This window comes from Homo sapiens, chromosome Y (assembly GCF_000001405.40).
Source record: "Homo sapiens chromosome Y, GRCh38.p14 Primary Assembly".
Lineage (NCBI taxonomy): Eukaryota > Metazoa > Chordata > Mammalia > Primates > Hominidae > Homo > Homo sapiens.
In genome coordinates this window covers 12,798,491-12,816,907 of record NC_000024.10, presented here as the reverse complement: position 1 = coordinate 12,816,907, position 18,417 = coordinate 12,798,491, and the positions used below count along the sequence as shown (strand labels likewise).

The following is an 18,417-nucleotide window of genomic DNA, read 5'->3' as shown; positions in this document are numbered from 1 at the left end:
CCACTAAAACCTAACTTTTTTACTGCTTTATTTTCAACTGGATACATTTCATAGGCAGCCTGACTGCAACTGTTAACTAATATTGTTAACAGGTCCGTGAAGCATTAGCTGAGAAACAAATTTGTTTCCTTAGCAGAAAGAGCTCTAATTTGAGAAAAATAGAGAATCCTAAAAATAAGTACAGCTTATGAAACACAGACAATATAAAAAGTGAAAGAAATGAAATAACAGATTTTAAAAAACAAGGCAATGAAAATGTAATTATTAAAAATAAATAGATTCATCATTTTTCAAATACCAAATTACATTTACCATGTCACACAAAATGCGATTATATTAACTGTGCTTTGGAGACAAACAAAAAAACAGTGTTTAATTATCAACTGGAGTTTTAAGTCTATTACATAGTGAGTACTACAAGTATGCCAGACATAGTATCTCAGAGATTCTGTCTGTATCATCAAAATGTAGTCCCCATAACATCCCATGAAAGTATAGTAATCTGAGGGAGAACAACAGCATCTGCTATCAGACTCTTCAAAGAAAACAGTATTAAAATTTACCTCACTGTCCTGCTTCTCATCCCCGAACATATCATCGTGTAAATCACTACCTGTGCCTTCAATTGCAAGAATACTGTTCCTGATAGAAGGAATCATGTATAGCTGCTGGATCACAGAGTTCATGTAACACGTAGCACCAGCATTTTTGAGTCCCACAAATCCTTTTGGTGGGCGGGGTCCAACAGGGGGCAGATATTCCCACTCAGTAAGTGCTTCACAAGCTGAGTTGAAAAGAGAAAAGATGCTTATACTATGAAAACAGTGATTCTGTTCACCATTTTCAGGCTAACAAATTAATAATAGCAACACCTCCTTCACCACCACAGCCACTTTGAAACAGTACTTTAAATTTTGACACCAACAACATAAGCCACCATACAGATTTTAACTACAGACCTTGTTAAGTTGATGTTTTTAATGATACTGCTTCTGTAACAGTTTTAAGAGTCATATAAGATGATGTAATATTGGCCAGTGCCGTGCCTCATGCCTGTCATCCCAGCAGTTTGGGAAGCCAAGGCAGGCAGATCACCTGAGTTCAGGAGTTCAAGACCAGCCTGACCAACATGGTGAAACCCTGTCTCTAGTGAAAATACAAAAGTTAGCTGAACACGGTGGCATGTGCCTGTCATTCCAGCTACTTGGGAGGCTGAGTCAGGAGAATCGCTTGAACCCATGAGACAAAGGTTGCAGTGACTCCAGCCTGGGCGACAGAGACAGACTCTGTCTCAAAAAAACAAGATGGTATAGCATTAAATTTCCATGTGTTAAACACAGGCTTAGTGTTAACCATTATTATTTTACTAATTAAAAACTTCTAGCCGGGCATGGTGGCTCACGACTGTAATTGCAGCACTTTGGGAGGCCAAGGCGGGCAGATCACGGGGTCAGCAGTTTGAGACCAGCCTGGCCAACATGGTGAAACCATGTCTGTACTAAAAATACAAAAATTAGCTGGGTGTGGTGGCATGCACCTGTAGTCCCTGCTACTAGGAAGGCTGAGGCAGGAGAACTGCTTGAACTCGGGAGGTGGAGGTTGCAGTGAGCCGATATCGTGCCACTGCACTCCAGCCTGGCAACAAGGCCAAGACTCCCTCTCAAAAACAAAAACAACAACAAAAAAATAAACTTCTGTACCTAAGTGTATTGAATTCACTGTGGTCAGAACTCTATATAAACAAAATACTATGGTTTTCTCACTTTTAATTGCATATAGGACCACTTTGTTTTATTTATAATGAAAGTATGTATACATTACAAACTTGACTTTGTCAAGTCGTGGTTCTGATTCTTAAAAAAGTATAACCTTCACGTAAATATCTGTTTCCTTCCTTAGTAAATAGTGATAATTGCTTTACCAATATCCAGTTTTATTGTGAGATAAAGTCAATGGGATGGTGTATTTCAAATCACTGTGAGAACTATAAATCCCTCTCTTACTTGCATAAAACCAAAACAACTTAAACATCAATCACCATCAGAGATGAATTACATAAACTGGAGCACATTGAACTGCAAGTTATGTAGCTAAAAAACAGAATTATACAGACCTTCATGTGCTGACAGGTGTGTCACAAAGTACAAAACAAAATTAACAATATTGTATTTTGTACATTCTCATTTGTACAAAACGAATAGCTATACATACATATAAATGCATAGACAGAGATAATCTCTGGACTGGAAACATAAAACCTGTAGGAAGTTAATAACTGTTAACATGTATCCTCTTTTGTATTTGAAAATACATATTTACCAGGTATAAACTTTAGTAAAATAAACAAGTGTTTCTTTTTTTTTTTTTTTTTTTTTTTTTTGAGACGGAGTCTCTCTCTGTCGCCCAGGCTGGAGTGCAGTGGTGCAATCTCGGCTCACTGCAAGCTCCGCCTCCCGGGTTCACGCCATTCTCCTGCCTCAGCCTCCCAAGTAGCTGGGACTACAGGCGCCCGCCACTACGCCCGGCTAATTTTTTGTATTTTTAGTAGAGACGGGGTTTCACCGTTTTAGCCGGGATGGTCTCGATCTCCTGACCTCGTGATCCGCCCGCCTCGGCCTCCCAAAGTGCTGGGATTACAGGCGTGAGCCACCGCGCCCGGCCATAAACAAGTGTTTCTAAAAAATAAACTCTTTTGAAACTACACTTACCACATAAATACATTAGCTAAATAAATTAACAAAAGAAGCGTTTTTAAAAAAGAAACTTTTTAAAAAAGAGTGACTCACACATGTAATCTCAAGTAGTTACTCACACATGTAATCTCAGCGCTTTGGGAGGCCAAGATGGGTGGATCACCTGAGGTCAGGAGTTCTAGACCAGCCTGGCCAACATGGTGAAACCCTGTCTCTCTAAAAATACAAAAATTAGCCAGGTGTGGTGACAGTCGCCTGTAATCCCACCTACTTGGGTGGCTGAGGTAAGAGAACTGCTTGAACCCGGGAGGCGGAGGTTGCAGTGAGCTGAGATGGCGCCATCGCATTCCAGACTGGGGAACAAGAGTGAGACTTCGTCTCAAAAGAAGAAACTCTTCTCTCTATGCAGATTCAAAGCGACAAAAAAACATCTGACCTTCTAAGCAGGGAGTTTAGCTAGAAACTCCTACAATGTGATTGAAAACGTCCTCACCCAGAGAAAGACATAAGCAAAGATAAATTCATATTTATTAAAGATTTATAATGAATGCTGTTATTAATTATATTTTTAAGCCTTGGGTTTTTCCTTGAAATGAACTAAATTTTATATTATTATCTGTTATTTTACTTATACCACCTCCCACTCTGAGTTTCAGTTCTATGTAAGATCTGAACATAGGTACTCACTTTGTGGGACTGATGTAGGCATTTAGAACTTAGTAAAATACACTCAAATATTCTCTTCTCACACTGTGATCTTTAAAACCATACCTTCCTTAGAATTCAACTAAAATAACATTAAGCAACTTCAGTGTTAGGATTATGAAAATCTTTTCAATACATACATTTTAAATATAAACTTTTTATGGCATTAAATTTGCCTTCCTGTTACTCTGAAGTTTTGGTTTTATTTCACATATGATTAAATAAAACTCATCTAAACAAACTATAAGGAGCATTTAAAAGACACAGCTAAAAATTTTTCTGAATTAATGTTCTCTGACTAAAGTGGTTTTAATTGTATAACTGACAGCTAAAAAATGTTAAACTCATTGGATCAAAAAAAGTCCATCACAAGTTAATTTTTTCTAAAACACCAAATAAAATTTTACAGTGAAGTATTATTAATGAACAAAACAGCTTTATAATTTAAAATACTCACTAGTAATTGCTGTGCCCATGTAATACATTTCAGTCAAACAGTCTACTATCTGTTTGAGATTCCTCACACAGCCAATAGCTAATGCTACAAGTAGCTCAAAACCGGCATTGATGGTAACGGGTGAACTACAGACTGGAATAGCCTGCTCAGCTGGTAGTTCTCCACTTCTTAAATACTGCAGGTAAACTTTGGATGCGGGAAAGATGAAATCATCAATTAATTCCTAGTAAGTTAGAAAAAGACATTACATGTTATTAGTAGAAAATATAGGTTAGGAACAATATGTTTCTTCAAAGGGAATACTTTAGTAATTATCTGACATAATTAAATATCTCATTATATCTCAAAACAAAACCCCACAAAAAAACCCGAGTACAATTAATAAATGTAATCAGTTTTCCAGATTAGATTTTTTGAAGTGATTTAAACAATTTTATACCAAAGAAAAGTGACATTCTAAATAAATTTATTTCTTTAATCAGATATAAACAGAAACAAATTCATTTCAAACAGGAACAGAATGCATCAAAGTTATATTCTTTTTCTTGAATTGCATGACATATAAAGAAGCTCACCAAGAAATAGTGTATAAAAAATGAAGTTTTGCAAGACAGAAATTTCTCTCATTTAGAAATCTAGTCAAGAAAAATTGAGATTTATTCAACATGAAAATCACCTCAATGCTGCTTACTGACTTTTCATACCACTTTATTGTAACTCTGATTTGTAATTACTTTACAAAATCTCTTAAAGTGAGGCACACGTTTTAAAGTTACTGTAACCTCTTCAGAGATCCTTTTTAAAAGAGAAGTGGGACAAGAAAAAAGAAAAAATATCAAGATTATGTCTCAAAGACATTATACAGAGGTCAATCAGACAGATTTGCTAACATTTATGAGGTCATGATAAGAAGTTCAGTAACAAAATTCAGAACTTACCTTAAAGAGGCTGGGTGCGGCGGCTCACCCACTTTAGGAGGCGGAGGTGAACGGATCACTTGAGGTCAGGAGGTCAACACCAGCCTGGCCAACATGGTGAAACCAGGTCTCTACCAAAAATACAAAAATTAGCCAGGTCTCTACCAAAAATAGAAAAATTAGCCAGGTGTGGTGACACATGCCTGTAATCCCAGCTATTTGGGTGGCTGAGGCACGAGAATCACTTGAACCCGGGAGGTGGAGGCTGCGGTGAGCTGAGACGGCACCACTGCACTCCAGTCTGGGCCACAGAGCAAGACTCCATCTCAAAAAAAGAAAAAAAAAAGTACTTACTTTAATGAGATTAGCACCTCCTTTTTCACAACCAAAGTGATACTTTTTCTCAGAAGTTTGAAAGGCCAATAACTCTTTTGTTACCCCAAGGTGGCCTTCCAGTATTGGCTCTTCGACACCTGTTTCACCTGTGTTTTTAACATTATCCTGCAAAAGGAAAAATATTATAGGCCCAACTCACAACATGGAGATAGAAAAGGACAAGGAGTTAGGAGAACAGAGAGCTGGAAGGAAATGAGATCTTCTATACAACTTCCCCAAACTGTTCAAGTGGTTTCCTATTTCTTTTTGAGAACTCTCTAGAACAGTAAATGCAAGCAATTTTGCTTACACAAACATATTTGGGATTTACAACCACGAGGAAAGGAGGTTACTACAGCACTGAGTGGAAGAGGCCCGAAATGCTGCTTAACATCCTACAATGCACAGCAAAGCTCCTCCCCAAAAGGAATTATCTGGGTACACAACGTCAATACCAGGGTTCAAAAACCGTGCTCCGTAAGTAAGCTTTATAATCTACTAGAAGCAGCTAACCTGAAGCCCAAAGCCATACACTTTAGAAATATACTCTCATAGAACTTTGTGAAGTAAGATATCAGATGGTTCAATGTAAATACGAATCTCTCAAATTCGATTTTTTAAAAAGTCTTCAAATGTGATAATTTCCCCAAAAAAGGCCAAGAAGCACCAAAGTGAAAGAAACAGAATTATCAGCATTCCAAGTTTCAAGAAAAGTAAAACACATTGAACAAAACTAGCTATGTTTGTTTCTATGAATCTAAGTTACCAATTCACTAGTGAAAAGTACACATTTTGTTTGTATTTATTCTCAGAGGCATTTTGAGAATTTATTCTCCTAAGTTGTCAAATAAAAATAGAGACTAAATAAAAGACTACAAACCTCCTTTTAATAAGACAGCTGATTTGGTCATGACATAATAAACTAAATACTATTCAACTTACCCTAATCCTTTTGAGCCAATCAATTTCACTGACAAGAAGAACTTCAGCATTGGGTATGTTAATATTGCCATTGTAAGCATAATTGAGAAGGTGCCGTAAAAGTGTGAAATAATCACCTGAATATTTACCCTTCTCTCTTGCTGTGCTCTGAAATATTAAATTAAAACAACATGAATTCACAAGTCTACACTCAGAGTCCATATAATTTTTTTAAACCCAGAAAAATTAAAATTGGCAATATTTCATATCAATGACAAAGATGTACTATATTTTTCCTACAGACGTACTATATACATAAAATAAATATATAGTACATCTATAGACCTACTATATATTTTTCCAAGACGTAGTGTATTTTTCCCAAGAACTGTAAAAAAACAAAAAGCCAATCTACAAATAGTAAAAAATTATAATACTGCATTTATTAATTATGCCTGTTCTAAATACAATAAAAGCTATCGTAGTAACTTTCTGAATGTCTCTCATGTTAAGAATGCATTATATTGATAAGTTCATTTGAAAACTTCTCACCCCCAGTATGGTAAAGAGTAAAGTAATGAAGAAAAGCAGAGGCCTGTGTCCCATGCAACATCTGGTGCACATTAAAAAGAACTGCTCCTGTGCCAACTGACGAACAGTTCTGAAATAAAAACAAAATGTATCTTATGAACAACAACAAAATAATTCCAACACTGATCTATCTTTAATAGGAGGTATATACATCAATAGTAAAATACAAGGTAACCCCCATTTTAGCATTTGGCTAGCAACACAGAATGAATGAGTTTAAAATACTTGTCAGGGAGCTAATCCTCAAATTGTTACCTAGTAGGCTAGGAATATTACTACTTACTATTTATTGTTCAAGTTTGTTAATGTATGATTTCTTAGATCTTCTAATATTTACTGTGAATCAGGGGTCGGGGTGGATCATGTCAAAGGTAAGCATCAATCAATAAAATATAAGCCTCTTATTTTGCAGGACATATTTTTAACAACCTCTCTCGGAAATGCCTGGAAACACCCTCTAGATACTATACAAAGGTGCTATGAATTAAGCTTCTGTATATCTTTTTTAGCCTCCCCAGAATCACTTTCAATGAACCGTGCATTGGAGCAAGCAACTCATGGAAATGCAACATGGCTAAAGATATGTCTGATTGTATCAATGATTCTCAAACGTGATTATCAGACCAACAGCATTAACATCATTTGAGAACCTCGAAGACATACAGATCCTCAGATTCCATTCCATACTTACTGAGTCATTAATTTTGGAAGACAAACCCAGAATCTCTTTTTCTCTCTCTCTTCTGTCTTCTCTTCTCTCTCCCCTCTCTCTCTCTCTCCTCCACCCCACTCAAACTTTAATCAACTGAACTTTTCAAGGGCTTATAAAAGTCCCTCCTATTTATGAAACCCACAGGTTGGGCTCAGAAATCTTCAAACTATAGTATCAAAGAATTCCACATGTATGCCTTTTCTTCACAATTTTCTGGAGAGACAGTCCAACTGTGTTAAATTCCTAAAGGTGTCTGAGACTCTAGATTTAAGGATATTTAGCAGACTTCCAGCCTCTCACCACTAGATGCCAGTAACAACCTTACCAATCCCACTTCCAGTTATGAACCAGGCTTAGAGTAAAATCTAAAGTAATATCTATTGACCTATATAAAACATGACCTATATAAAGCTATCACATGGACTGTCCGTTATCTCTACGAGCTCTTCATCTATAATTGTTCTCCTTTTTCATCCTGCCTCAGCCACACCGACCTTGCTATTTTTCTAACAAGCTAAGTAGGCTTATGCCAGGGATCTTCATACTTGTTGATCCTGCTGCATACTTACATGATTATTCCCTTGTTTGTTCATTTAGACATTTACTTGAAAGTCACCCTGGCAACGAAGTATTTTGTGACTCTCCTATATAAAACCAAACTGTACTTTATAACAAACAAATCCTGCCTCATGCATTTTATATGGAATCGATAATCTTACTTAAAAACAAAGCAAAGAAAAAGTTTCATACCATATCCACTAAAACAAAAACCTAACATCTAGGAACCCAAATTAGGAGGTTAATATACTACTTAATTATTTTAAGGAAAATTTTTAAGGCACAAAAGTGTAAATCTCCTAAATAAAAATGAACTCTGAGATCGGAAAACAATCAGTGCTTCATAAATTAAACTGAAAGCAAAGCTACAGGACAGACACTTTCAAACCCTCCAAAGAAACAGCACATCAACCCAAAACTGACAGGACCCTGGAAATCAACAATTTATATCAACCAAGCAAACACTGAGCCAAGAGAGATAATTTTTAAAATGGTAGGAAAGTCTTGTGGTGTTACCATACCACCTCCCAGGCACAGCTGAAGCCTTCGAAAATGCAATCCACATTCTCAATGTGAGGCCCTGACCCCTGATTCTAGAAGGAGTAAAGAAGACCTTAGGTGCTAATTTATTGTGTTTTATTTCTAGTCTGTCTAGGAGTTACATAAAGAATTGGTGAAACACACATATCTCTGTTTTGCCTAACTCAGAACTCACTCATGGTTGAAAATGCCAGGCATTAGTCACAAATATTTAAGTTGCTGGGAGCAAAGTATATGATTAACCCATAAAACAGACAACCTGAAAAAGAGGGCAAAAGCTGGAGAGATCTTTCTTTTGGAGAAATCAGAATATTTGAAAGCAGTTAAATATACTAAAGAATTTAGAAAATCATGCACATGCTCATGACAGGAAACATTCTCAAAAAACATGTAAAACTCTAAGTGTTAGCCCTCAGGCTTAACTATAGCTTCAATGTGAGAAAAAACTGAAGGCTGAGGCAGAATTGTAAACAGTCTCCCTAAGTATTAAAGGGGTGTGTTAATACAGATCCAGTTGTAAAAACTGATAGTTTTTATATTACACTCAATTAAAACACTGTTGCAATGCAAGCTAAGCCTTCAATAACTAAGAGGACACCTTGGAGAAATGAAGACTTCCAGAGTTAACACACTGCAACATTTCAAATATAGTTTTCTACAAAAAAACAACAAAACACACAAAAACAAACAGGAAAATATGACCAATGTGAAGTGAAAAACAGAAACTGAAAATGTCCTGAACTTTATACACAAAGACTATAAAAAAACCAAAGTTTTGGCTGGGCATGGTGGCTCATGCCTATAATCCCAGCAGTTTGGTAGGCCGAAGCAGGTGGATCACGAGGTCAGGAGATCGAGACCATCCTGGGTAACACAGTGAAACCCCGTCTCTACAAAAAATACAAAAATTAGCAAGGCGTGGTGGTGTATGCCTGTAATCCCACCTACTCAAGAGGCTGAGGCAGGAGAATCGCTTGAACACGGGAGGAATAGCTTGCAGTGAGCAGAGACCGCGCCCTTGCACTCCAGCCTGGGTGACAGAGAGAGACTCTGTCTCAAAAAAAAAAAAAAAAAAAAAAAAAAAAAAAAAAAAAAAAAAAGAGTTAAGCCTAAAGAAAAAAACAGCAGACAAATGATAAAAGAACACGAGAGTATCAATGAGACAAATTATAGAAGAAAATATGGAATATCTAGAGATAAAAAAGCACAATGATGCAAATGAACAGTTCATTAAAGGAGTATATAACAGCAGGTAAAGATTAAGTCTGAAGAAATGAAAATTGAAATAACCCAGTGTGAGAACAGAAAAAAAGAAGAATTTGAAAAAGTGGGAAAAACCTAACAAGTACACAGAACGCCATGAAGCAGACCAATGCATGCAATATGGGTGTCCCATAAGTGCAGAAGGAGAAGAGGCAGAAAGAATATCTGAAGACATAAATAGCTGAAAATTCCCAAACTTGATGAAATATCTGAATGTCCAAACTCAAGAAGGGTAAAAATCTCCAACAAGAACATAGTCAAAAACAGCCAGCCACACCAAGAAAATTATAGTCAGTCAAGAACCAAGACAACTGTAAAAACAGAAAGGGAGAAGCAATTTGTCATGCAGAAGGGAGTCTTGACTGACAACAGACACCTCAGAATGGAAGCCATTTGTTATGTAGAAGGGTGTACTGATTAACAACAAACAGCTCAGAAAGCATGGAAAATACAGAAGCCAGAAAGCGATAACAAAATGTTAATAGAAAAAAGCTATCAAACACGAAATCTGAATCTGGCAAAATGATACTTCAAGCAAAAATACTTCAAGCAAAAATGCCTAGATACAGAAAAGCTAACGGAATGCGTTACTACCCCTGCTCTACAAGGATTGCTAGAAGGAAGCCATCAAGTTAAAATGAAAGGACATTGGACAGTAATTTTAAGCCACAGGAAGAATTAACATTGTAAAGAAAGCTGCTATTACTATTATAACAACTGGGAAAAGTAACTATTACTATTGTACTTCTGGTAGGCAGCTATTACATAAAACAATTACAAATCCATTTTAATGGACACTGTGTACAGATATAATCTGAGACAATAACATAGATTAGGAAGGATGGAAAAGTACAAAAGCAGCATATTTATATACTGTTGAAACTAAACTTCATATTATTCAAACAAGTTAGTATTACTCAAAGTAGGCTATTTTAAGTTTAGAATATTAACTGAAGTCCCAAATATAATTAATAAAAAATATAAAATATACAGAAAAGGGAATAAGCACATTTTTTTTTAAAAAACAAATTTTTAAAATGAGCATCAAGTAATAATATAGTGAGGATCAAATATATAGTGAGGATCAAATATATAGTGAGGATCAAGTATATAATGAGGATCAAATAATATAGAGAACAGGCAGAAAATAAGTAGGTAAATGTCGGAGTAAACCATTACTTGCTTGTAATAACTTGAAATGTATGCTCTGTGTGAAAAGGCACAGACTGGCAAAATGCATTTTTAAAAAATGGATTCACCTATATGAAATTTATGCAAGTCTCACTTTAGGTGTAAAGACACAGAGGTTAGAAGGAAGAGGATACAGGGTTCTGGGAAGAGGGCAACAATGAACTACAGAGCACCATGAATCTGTCTCTCCAACTAGACAATAGGTGCAGTTGGCAGAATTGTGTGATACAATTATTTTGGAACCCTACAGTCTATCTCAAGGTTTACAGCTTTCAAAAGAAGACTTGGATAGTAAACTACAATTAAATTTGATCAATTTCATAGCTTGGCTCAACAGCAGCCACCTACGCTCCATCAACTACCACTGTGATATGCTGCCTTGCAAACACTTCTGGAGCAGCCTGCAAGAGCCAGGATGGACAGAAAGAACCCTGTCCTCCAAATCTCAGGAGGACTTGTGCACTGATTGCCGCTTCTGATTAAGATGGTCCCGACAAAGGTGGGCAGTCATTGTTACATTCCCCAACCATTTTGCAGGAGCTTCCTCCTCCTGCTGAAGCAACTTTCCAGGGATTAAAAGGGCCAGAGCATTTTCCTTTCTCATTTTTCTATTCAGATTTGAGCAGACAGAAGGGGGGAAAAAGCATACCTAAAGAAAAGGCAGTTAAAATTATCAAGTCAGTAAGAGAAAGAAAAAATAATAAAGAAAAGTGAACACAGCCCAGGAACCTGTGGGACACCATCAAGCAGACAAACTTACACATTTTGGAAGTTCAAAGAGAAGAGAGAAAGAAACAGAGTATCTAACGAAACAGTTGTCAAGAATGTCACAAATTTTAGGAAATAAATAAACACCAAGAAGCTCAAGAAATTCCAAGTAAGATAAACTCAAACACACACAAAGATACATGCTAATTAAACTGTCTAAAACAAAGACAAGGAGAATCTTGAAAGCAGCAAGAGAAGTCACTAGTCATGAACTAAAGACCCGCATTGATAATCAGAGGATTTCTTTTTTTTTTTTTTTGAGATGGAGTTATGCTCTTTCTCCCAGGCTAGAGTGCAGTGGTGCGATCTTGGCTCACTGCAACCTTCGCCTTCCGGTTTCAAGTGATTCTCCTGCCTCAGCCTCCCGAGTAGCTGGGATTACAGGTGCCTGCCACTAAGCCTGGCAATTTTTGTATTCTTAGTAGAGACCAGGGTTACACCATGTTGGCCAGACTGGCCTCGAACTCCTGACATTGTGATCCACCCGCCCCGGCCTCCCAATCACCAGCACGTTTCTTATCAGACACCTCAGAGGCCAGAAAGCAGTGGGCTAACATATTGCAAGTGCTGTAATGATAAACTGTCAAACAGAAATCTTATGTCCAAACAAGCTGCATCAGTGTGAGGGAGAAATTATGACATTCCCAGATAAAAGCTGGAGAAGTTTGTTACCACTAGATTACCCTTCGAGAAATGCTTTATGGAGTACTTCAGGGTGAAATGAAAGGACACTATACAGCTGTCTGAATAAAGATTAAGGTAAAGATAAATATATGGCCAATTATGAAAGCTATCAAAGCTTTTAACAATGTGCAACTCCACTATTTGTTCTCTACATGATTTACAACAGTATTATATTAAAAGGCTATCACCAGCTTATGTTTTTGGACATAAAATGCATCAAGGTGTAATTCTGTGAACTTAATAACTGACATGACGGGGTCTGAGCTATTAAGGAGTGGGGCTTTTGTATGCTACTGAAGGTAAACTAGTGTGACTTTAAAAGTGTTATAACTTTCTTAAATGTAATTGTCACAGCAACCACAAAAGGGAATAGTAACAAGCAGGTAGGACGCTTTCTGCATGACACCCGAGACCAGGAGCTGGGGATCCAGCTGCTCTTACCTGAGGCATCTGCCTAGCCCTGCATCATGGGACCATGGCCCCAAGCCCGAGCTGGCCCACCAGGGAGTAAGTGTGGAGAGCCAAAGGCAGTTTCTCCACACAACTTCTTCCCCACCAGTGGCCACAAAAGCAGGAGAGGCTCATACGTGCCCAGCGCCTGGTGGAGCAGTGGAGGCAGAAGTGGTGGCTATGTGGGGACACAACTGAAACAAAGTGTTGGCCACCTGGCACAGCACCTGCCCCAACCCTGTCCACCCATCCATGGTTTCCCAGGAGTTTGAGGTTGAAACGACTGTTGACAAGACAAGAAAGGGAAGACAGATTATTTGGTTTGGTGGAAAGGCTATGACAACAAGGATGACACTTGGGAACCAGGGCCACACCTCATGAACTGTGGGCAATATATTCACGATTTTAACACATCCCACACTGAAAAACAGAAAGACAACATACTGGCCAGAATAGGTAGAACTTCTTCAAACAATGCCAAAAAAGAAATCTCCAGCCTTACCAAAACCAACTTTTCTAAGAGCTCTTTTAAGATGCTAGCGATTAGCAAAGACCACAAGTCCAAAAACAGCCAGTTGTCTGCTGCCAGCCAGAACTTTGGGGAGAAACACAGCTTAATCTCTCTCCAATCCAAAGAATATGGAGCTAGTAAATTCAACTATCAGTTGAATTTGCTTGCACCTCAGAGCCCCAGTAACACCAGGAACACAGTGGGTGGCTTTCAGGAACCTGAAAAACTGGACCCTGTTGAGCCACATCAGCAGGACACAGTGGTGCTCAAGGTGGCAGCAGAGAAGCCAGGCAGAGCTTTATCAGACCCCAGGGAAAAAAAGGCTGGGATGGAGAACAGACCCCAGATCTACCCACTAATGCCTCAGATGTCTGGCCCAGTGACTGCTGCCAGGGCCACAGGCTCAGCTAACAAGGAAGAAAGTACATTGCTATTAATCGATCCATTAATAGCCCATGGAGCAACAAACATGCAAACATCCGTACCAAGAGTGAGAGGTGGGAAAAGAAAGGTTGTTGATGACAGGCTGGGTGTGGTGGCTCTCTCCTGTAATCCCAGCACTTTGGGAGACTGAGGCAGGTAGATCACCTGAGGTCGGGAGTTCAAGACCCTCCTGACCAACATGCAGAAACTCCGTCTCTACTAAAAATACAAAATTAGCTGGGCATGGTGTCACATGCCTGTAATCCCAACTACCCGGGAGGCTGAGGGAGGAGAATAGCTGGAACCCGTGAGGCAGAGATTGCGGTGAGCCAAGATTGCACCATTGCACTCCATCCTGGGAAACAAGAGTGAAACTCCAGAAACTCCATCTCAAAAAAAAAAAAAAAAAGAAAAAAAAGAAAAAAAGAAAGCTTATTGATGACAGAAGAAACCAGCCTTTTGTCAAGAGGGTGCGTTTCAGCACAAAGCTAACAAAGTGCCGACAGATACTGAGATACTGTGGTGAGGAAGAAAGATGGCTTCACTCAGATCCTGCTATTAACTAGATCAACAGAGAATAACTCCCTAAATACAGAAGTAATGAAAGAAATTCAGGGTACTCTGAATAGGGCTGCTGCCAATGACAGCAAGCTCCTGCTACTCAGCGTAGCTGACAGTGTCTTTGCTGTGGCCTTGATTTTGTGTTCTTTGTGAAGCATTTAAGAAATGATAGAAAAAGGGAAAGCATTAAAAGAGTGGACACTAGCGAAAACTTTGTGAATACTCTCATTTAGGGTAAGAAGCCTATTATTTCATCAGTCAATGGCCCAGCCATTGGACTCGTCACATCCATACTGCCTCTTTGTGATGTGGTTTGGGCTAATGAAAAGGCGTGGCTTCCAATACCTTTGGTGTTTGGAGGCGTGTACCAAATGCCTGGTCTCTCAGGCGTTTTGGACGACACCTTTCACTCAGAAGGTTATGGTTCAAATTAAGGAGCTTGCCTCCTACAATCCTGTTGTGCTTGAGGAATCCAAAGCCCTTGTGCACTGTAATGTGAAGATTGAGTTGGAACAGGCCAATGAGAGTGTGAACAGCTGAAGAAAATCTGGGGCTTCGCACAAGGGATAGAATCTGTGTTAAAAGTATGTGCAGAAGAAAATCTATCAGTTTTGATTGTCAGTCTGTCTGCTCATGACACTAGTACTGGGCTGAGCAGAATACATCATTAGCTACAAGACGCCCTAATCCAGCCTCATAGCCTGAAACAAGTTCACCCATAGCTAACACTTGGAAGCAGGACTAGAAATATCCAAGCTCCTTATTTAATATTACAAGGCATTTTTAAGCACTGTAACTTTAAAATAAGTAACGACAAAGCTTCTTTGCCCAAATGTCATTATTTTATGCACATATACACCCAAATATAAAAGCATACTGGTGAGCACTAGACTGTTCTTGGAAGCTCTAATTTTTATCTACAGCCAGTGATATATAAAAGACCACAATTGTGTTTTATTACTTTTGGATGACAGAAAAGTCTGAAATGATGTTTGTTTTTCTTATTTCTTCCTCCTAGAATGCCGAGTCTAAAAGGGTATGAAGCAGCCTCCCTCAAATAGATACACAGAAACTGAGATACTGCCTTTGTCTTTATGAAGATACAAAATACCTCAGAGACAGAAAATTCTAAATCAAAAGACTTATTTTTTAGAATAAATATTTCTGACAAAAATTCCACTGAAGATCATTCCCGCAAACCAAACATACACTTAGGATTCATGCTGACATATCGATTTTCCTTTGTTTTTAAATACCTTGTTCTTACCCAGTTAACATGAAGAAACCATTATCACTCTAGAATAAAACTTCTTGTGCAATATTAATGAATCATGGAATCGTTTAGGTATTGTTGCGGGATTTTGTAAGGAATCAGAGAAACCAATGGGGTTCAGGAGGATATTTATTACTTAGGTACTCCGGCCCAGTCGGATTGACATCCAAAGGACTGAGCCTTGAACAAAGAGTTAAGTTACCTTTTAAGCATTTCTTGGGGTGGGGGGAGATCTGTGCATGGGGAAGCATTACAGAAGTGAGAAACAAAGGCAGTTTTTCAATTAACTGAGACATGCATTACATCATTTCTTACTTTCCAAGGAAAAACATGTTTTGCGATTTAAGTTTATCTGTCTAGTGACCTTGCAGCTGCACAGCTAGAGAACCAGGGTCTTCACAATGCCTTGAAAAGGAGAAGAAATAAGGCTCACTAGCCACAGAAAAACAGGCAGTTACTTTTTAAAGTACTCCAGCTCTTTCTCTTCCTCAGGGGAAATTGGGTTTTCTTACATACAACTGAGTTTTTGCTTACACACTCTTTAATTTCTTTTAATTCCTGTTCCAGTATAAACATCTAAGTTATAATGTTTATAAAGTCTAGTTTTTAGGTTCAGTTGGAGTATTTTTAATATGTGAAAATTCTTGACACACTTAAATGCAGAAACTCCTTTCAAAACAAAACAAACTACCTTACATTTGGCATTAAAGTTTCTTGATGTCTGCTTTTATGTGCACACCACCCTCCAGGAAACTACATGTTCAGCTATCTAGAAGCTCTCTGAAGCCTGTCTTCTTGTCTGTCTAAGGACACGTCATTAAATAGGCATGATTAAATAATATTCTGGTCACCGGCGGTCAACTTGACCTTCAGCCACTCACTCTTCTTTCCTAGAAACTGCCCCGTGGGGCTGAGCATCCCAACTCTCTGTTAGCGGTGGGTCTTTGTTCTTAGAGCTGCCAAGATGGTGGCAGGCTGCTCCAAAGATGGCAGCAAGCCTTCCATTCTCTCACCTGGGGTTCTTGGCTTCACAGTTTCTAAGGAATGGAACCTTGGGCCATGCAGTGAGTGTTATAAGTCTATTAGAAGCCATGGGTCACAGAAGAGAACCGTGGAACCCAGCCACTAGTTTTCAGCTCGATTAGGACAAACCCAGGCACTTAGCCACGCAGGAACAGTAGCAAGCCTCTAGCCTGATCGGGAGCGGCAATGGGCGCCTCCCTGGATCAGAAGTGCAGTGGATACCCTGCCAGATCTGGAGGGGTGGAAGTCAATGGTGGGTCTGCAATGGCGGCATTCAGCAGTGGTGGAAGGCGAGGGAAACCTCAGCTTGAGCCAGAACAAACACAGACCAGAAAGGTGTGCAGTTGCAAGATTATTTAACAGAGTGAAAACAGAGCTCCTATACAACGGGAGGGGACTCAAAGGGGTTTGCCACTGCCGATTCAAATGCCTGAGTTTATATCCCGATCATTGTCCCTCCCCAGTGTACTCTCAGGCGATAGATGACTTGACTATTTCTTTACCTCCTGCTTTTAGCCTAATTGGTATTTTAATGACTTCTCTTTATTACCTGATTGGTCAGGTGTGAGCTGAGTTACAAGCCCCATGTTTAAAGGTGGGCGCAGTCACCTTCCCCAGATAGACTTAGGAATTCTTAGTCAGCCTAGGAAATCCAGCTAGTCCTGTCTCTCATAATCATGTCTTCCTCTTTCCAGTCAACACTAGCATATAAAGAGACAACACTTTGGAGATTCCAAAGATTTTAGAAGTTCTACTCCAAGAAAAAGGGACAAACACCAAACTCATTTCACAAGCTCACATCTATTAAAAAGAAAACCCCAGTGATACAGGAGTTAAGAAGAAATTACTCAGGCAGAGAGTAAGGGTGTGGGAGTCCTCCATAAGGCTCTTTTTCATGACTAGCAGCCCCAAATCATTTACCAACAAATGGCGGCCTGTAAAGTCGAGTTGCAGACATAGACAAGCAAGCTGGAAGCTTGCACAGGTGAAGGCCGGCAGGAACAGGGACTAGACATGTTCAAGATGGCAGCTCCATTGTCCCTTCTCTGCCAGCCATGTGTACAATAATGAGCAGACAAGATGGCTCCGATCAACTGGCACAGCCCAATATGCAAAATAACCTTAGGGTGGGGCCTCTGGATGTCGTGGCTCACCCCTGTAATCCCAGCAACTTTGGGAGGCGGGAGGATCACTAGGTCAGGAGTTCCATAATGGCCTGACCAACATGGTGAAACCCCATTTCTACTAAAAATACAAAATTAGTTTGGTGTGGTGGCACGCGCCTGTATTCCCAGTTACTCAGGAGGCTGAGGCAGAATTCCTTGAACCTGAGAGGTGGAGGTTGCAGTGAGCCGAGATCCCACCACTGCACTCCAGCCTGGGGGACAGAGCAACGCCCCTTCTCAAAAAAAAAAAAAAAAAAAAATTAGGGTGGGGCAACCAACCTTCCTCACACACTATGTAAATGTCATAGCTGATCAAACCAATCTGTGAACCCTATGTAAATCAGACACAGCCTCCTCAAACTGGGCTAGAAAATCCAGCACATCGGCTGCCAGCCAGTCCTTTCCCCTTGGAGACCCCTCTGTCTATAGAGACAGCTGCTTCTCTTTCTCTCCTCTTCTGTCTATTAAACCTCCGCTCCTGAACACCTTGGGTGTGTCCATGTCTTATATCTTCCTGGTGTATGACCATGACCTCCAGGGTGTATACACCAGACAATGTAGCTGTTTCACCAGGACCAGAGTGTTCAACTGTTGAAATCTACCAAATGTTCAAATTAAAACAAATTTTTCCCTTT

General features: G+C 39.1%; 1 protein-coding gene and 1 pseudogene across 3 annotated transcripts in view; one reads left to right on the top strand and one right to left on the bottom strand.

Moving 5' to 3' along the window:
* USP9Y (ubiquitin specific peptidase 9 Y-linked) overlaps window positions 1-18,417 on the bottom strand; it is a 159,609-nt gene that overhangs the window by 43,932 nt on the left and 97,260 nt on the right. For all 3 annotated transcript variants that reach the window (NM_004654.4, XM_047442772.1, XM_047442771.1), the window contains 5 exons: window positions 6,621-6,729; window positions 6,090-6,236; window positions 5,127-5,273; window positions 3,856-4,078; window positions 564-784 (listed from right to left, as the gene is read on the bottom strand). In NM_004654.4, the coding sequence (NP_004645.2) occupies window positions 564-784; window positions 3,856-4,078; window positions 5,127-5,273; window positions 6,090-6,236; window positions 6,621-6,729 (847 nt within the window). The remainder of the gene's footprint in view (window positions 1-563; window positions 785-3,855; window positions 4,079-5,126; window positions 5,274-6,089; window positions 6,237-6,620; window positions 6,730-18,417) is intronic.
* On the top strand, window positions 12,650-15,567 carry CDY4P (chromodomain Y-linked 4 pseudogene; annotated as a pseudogene).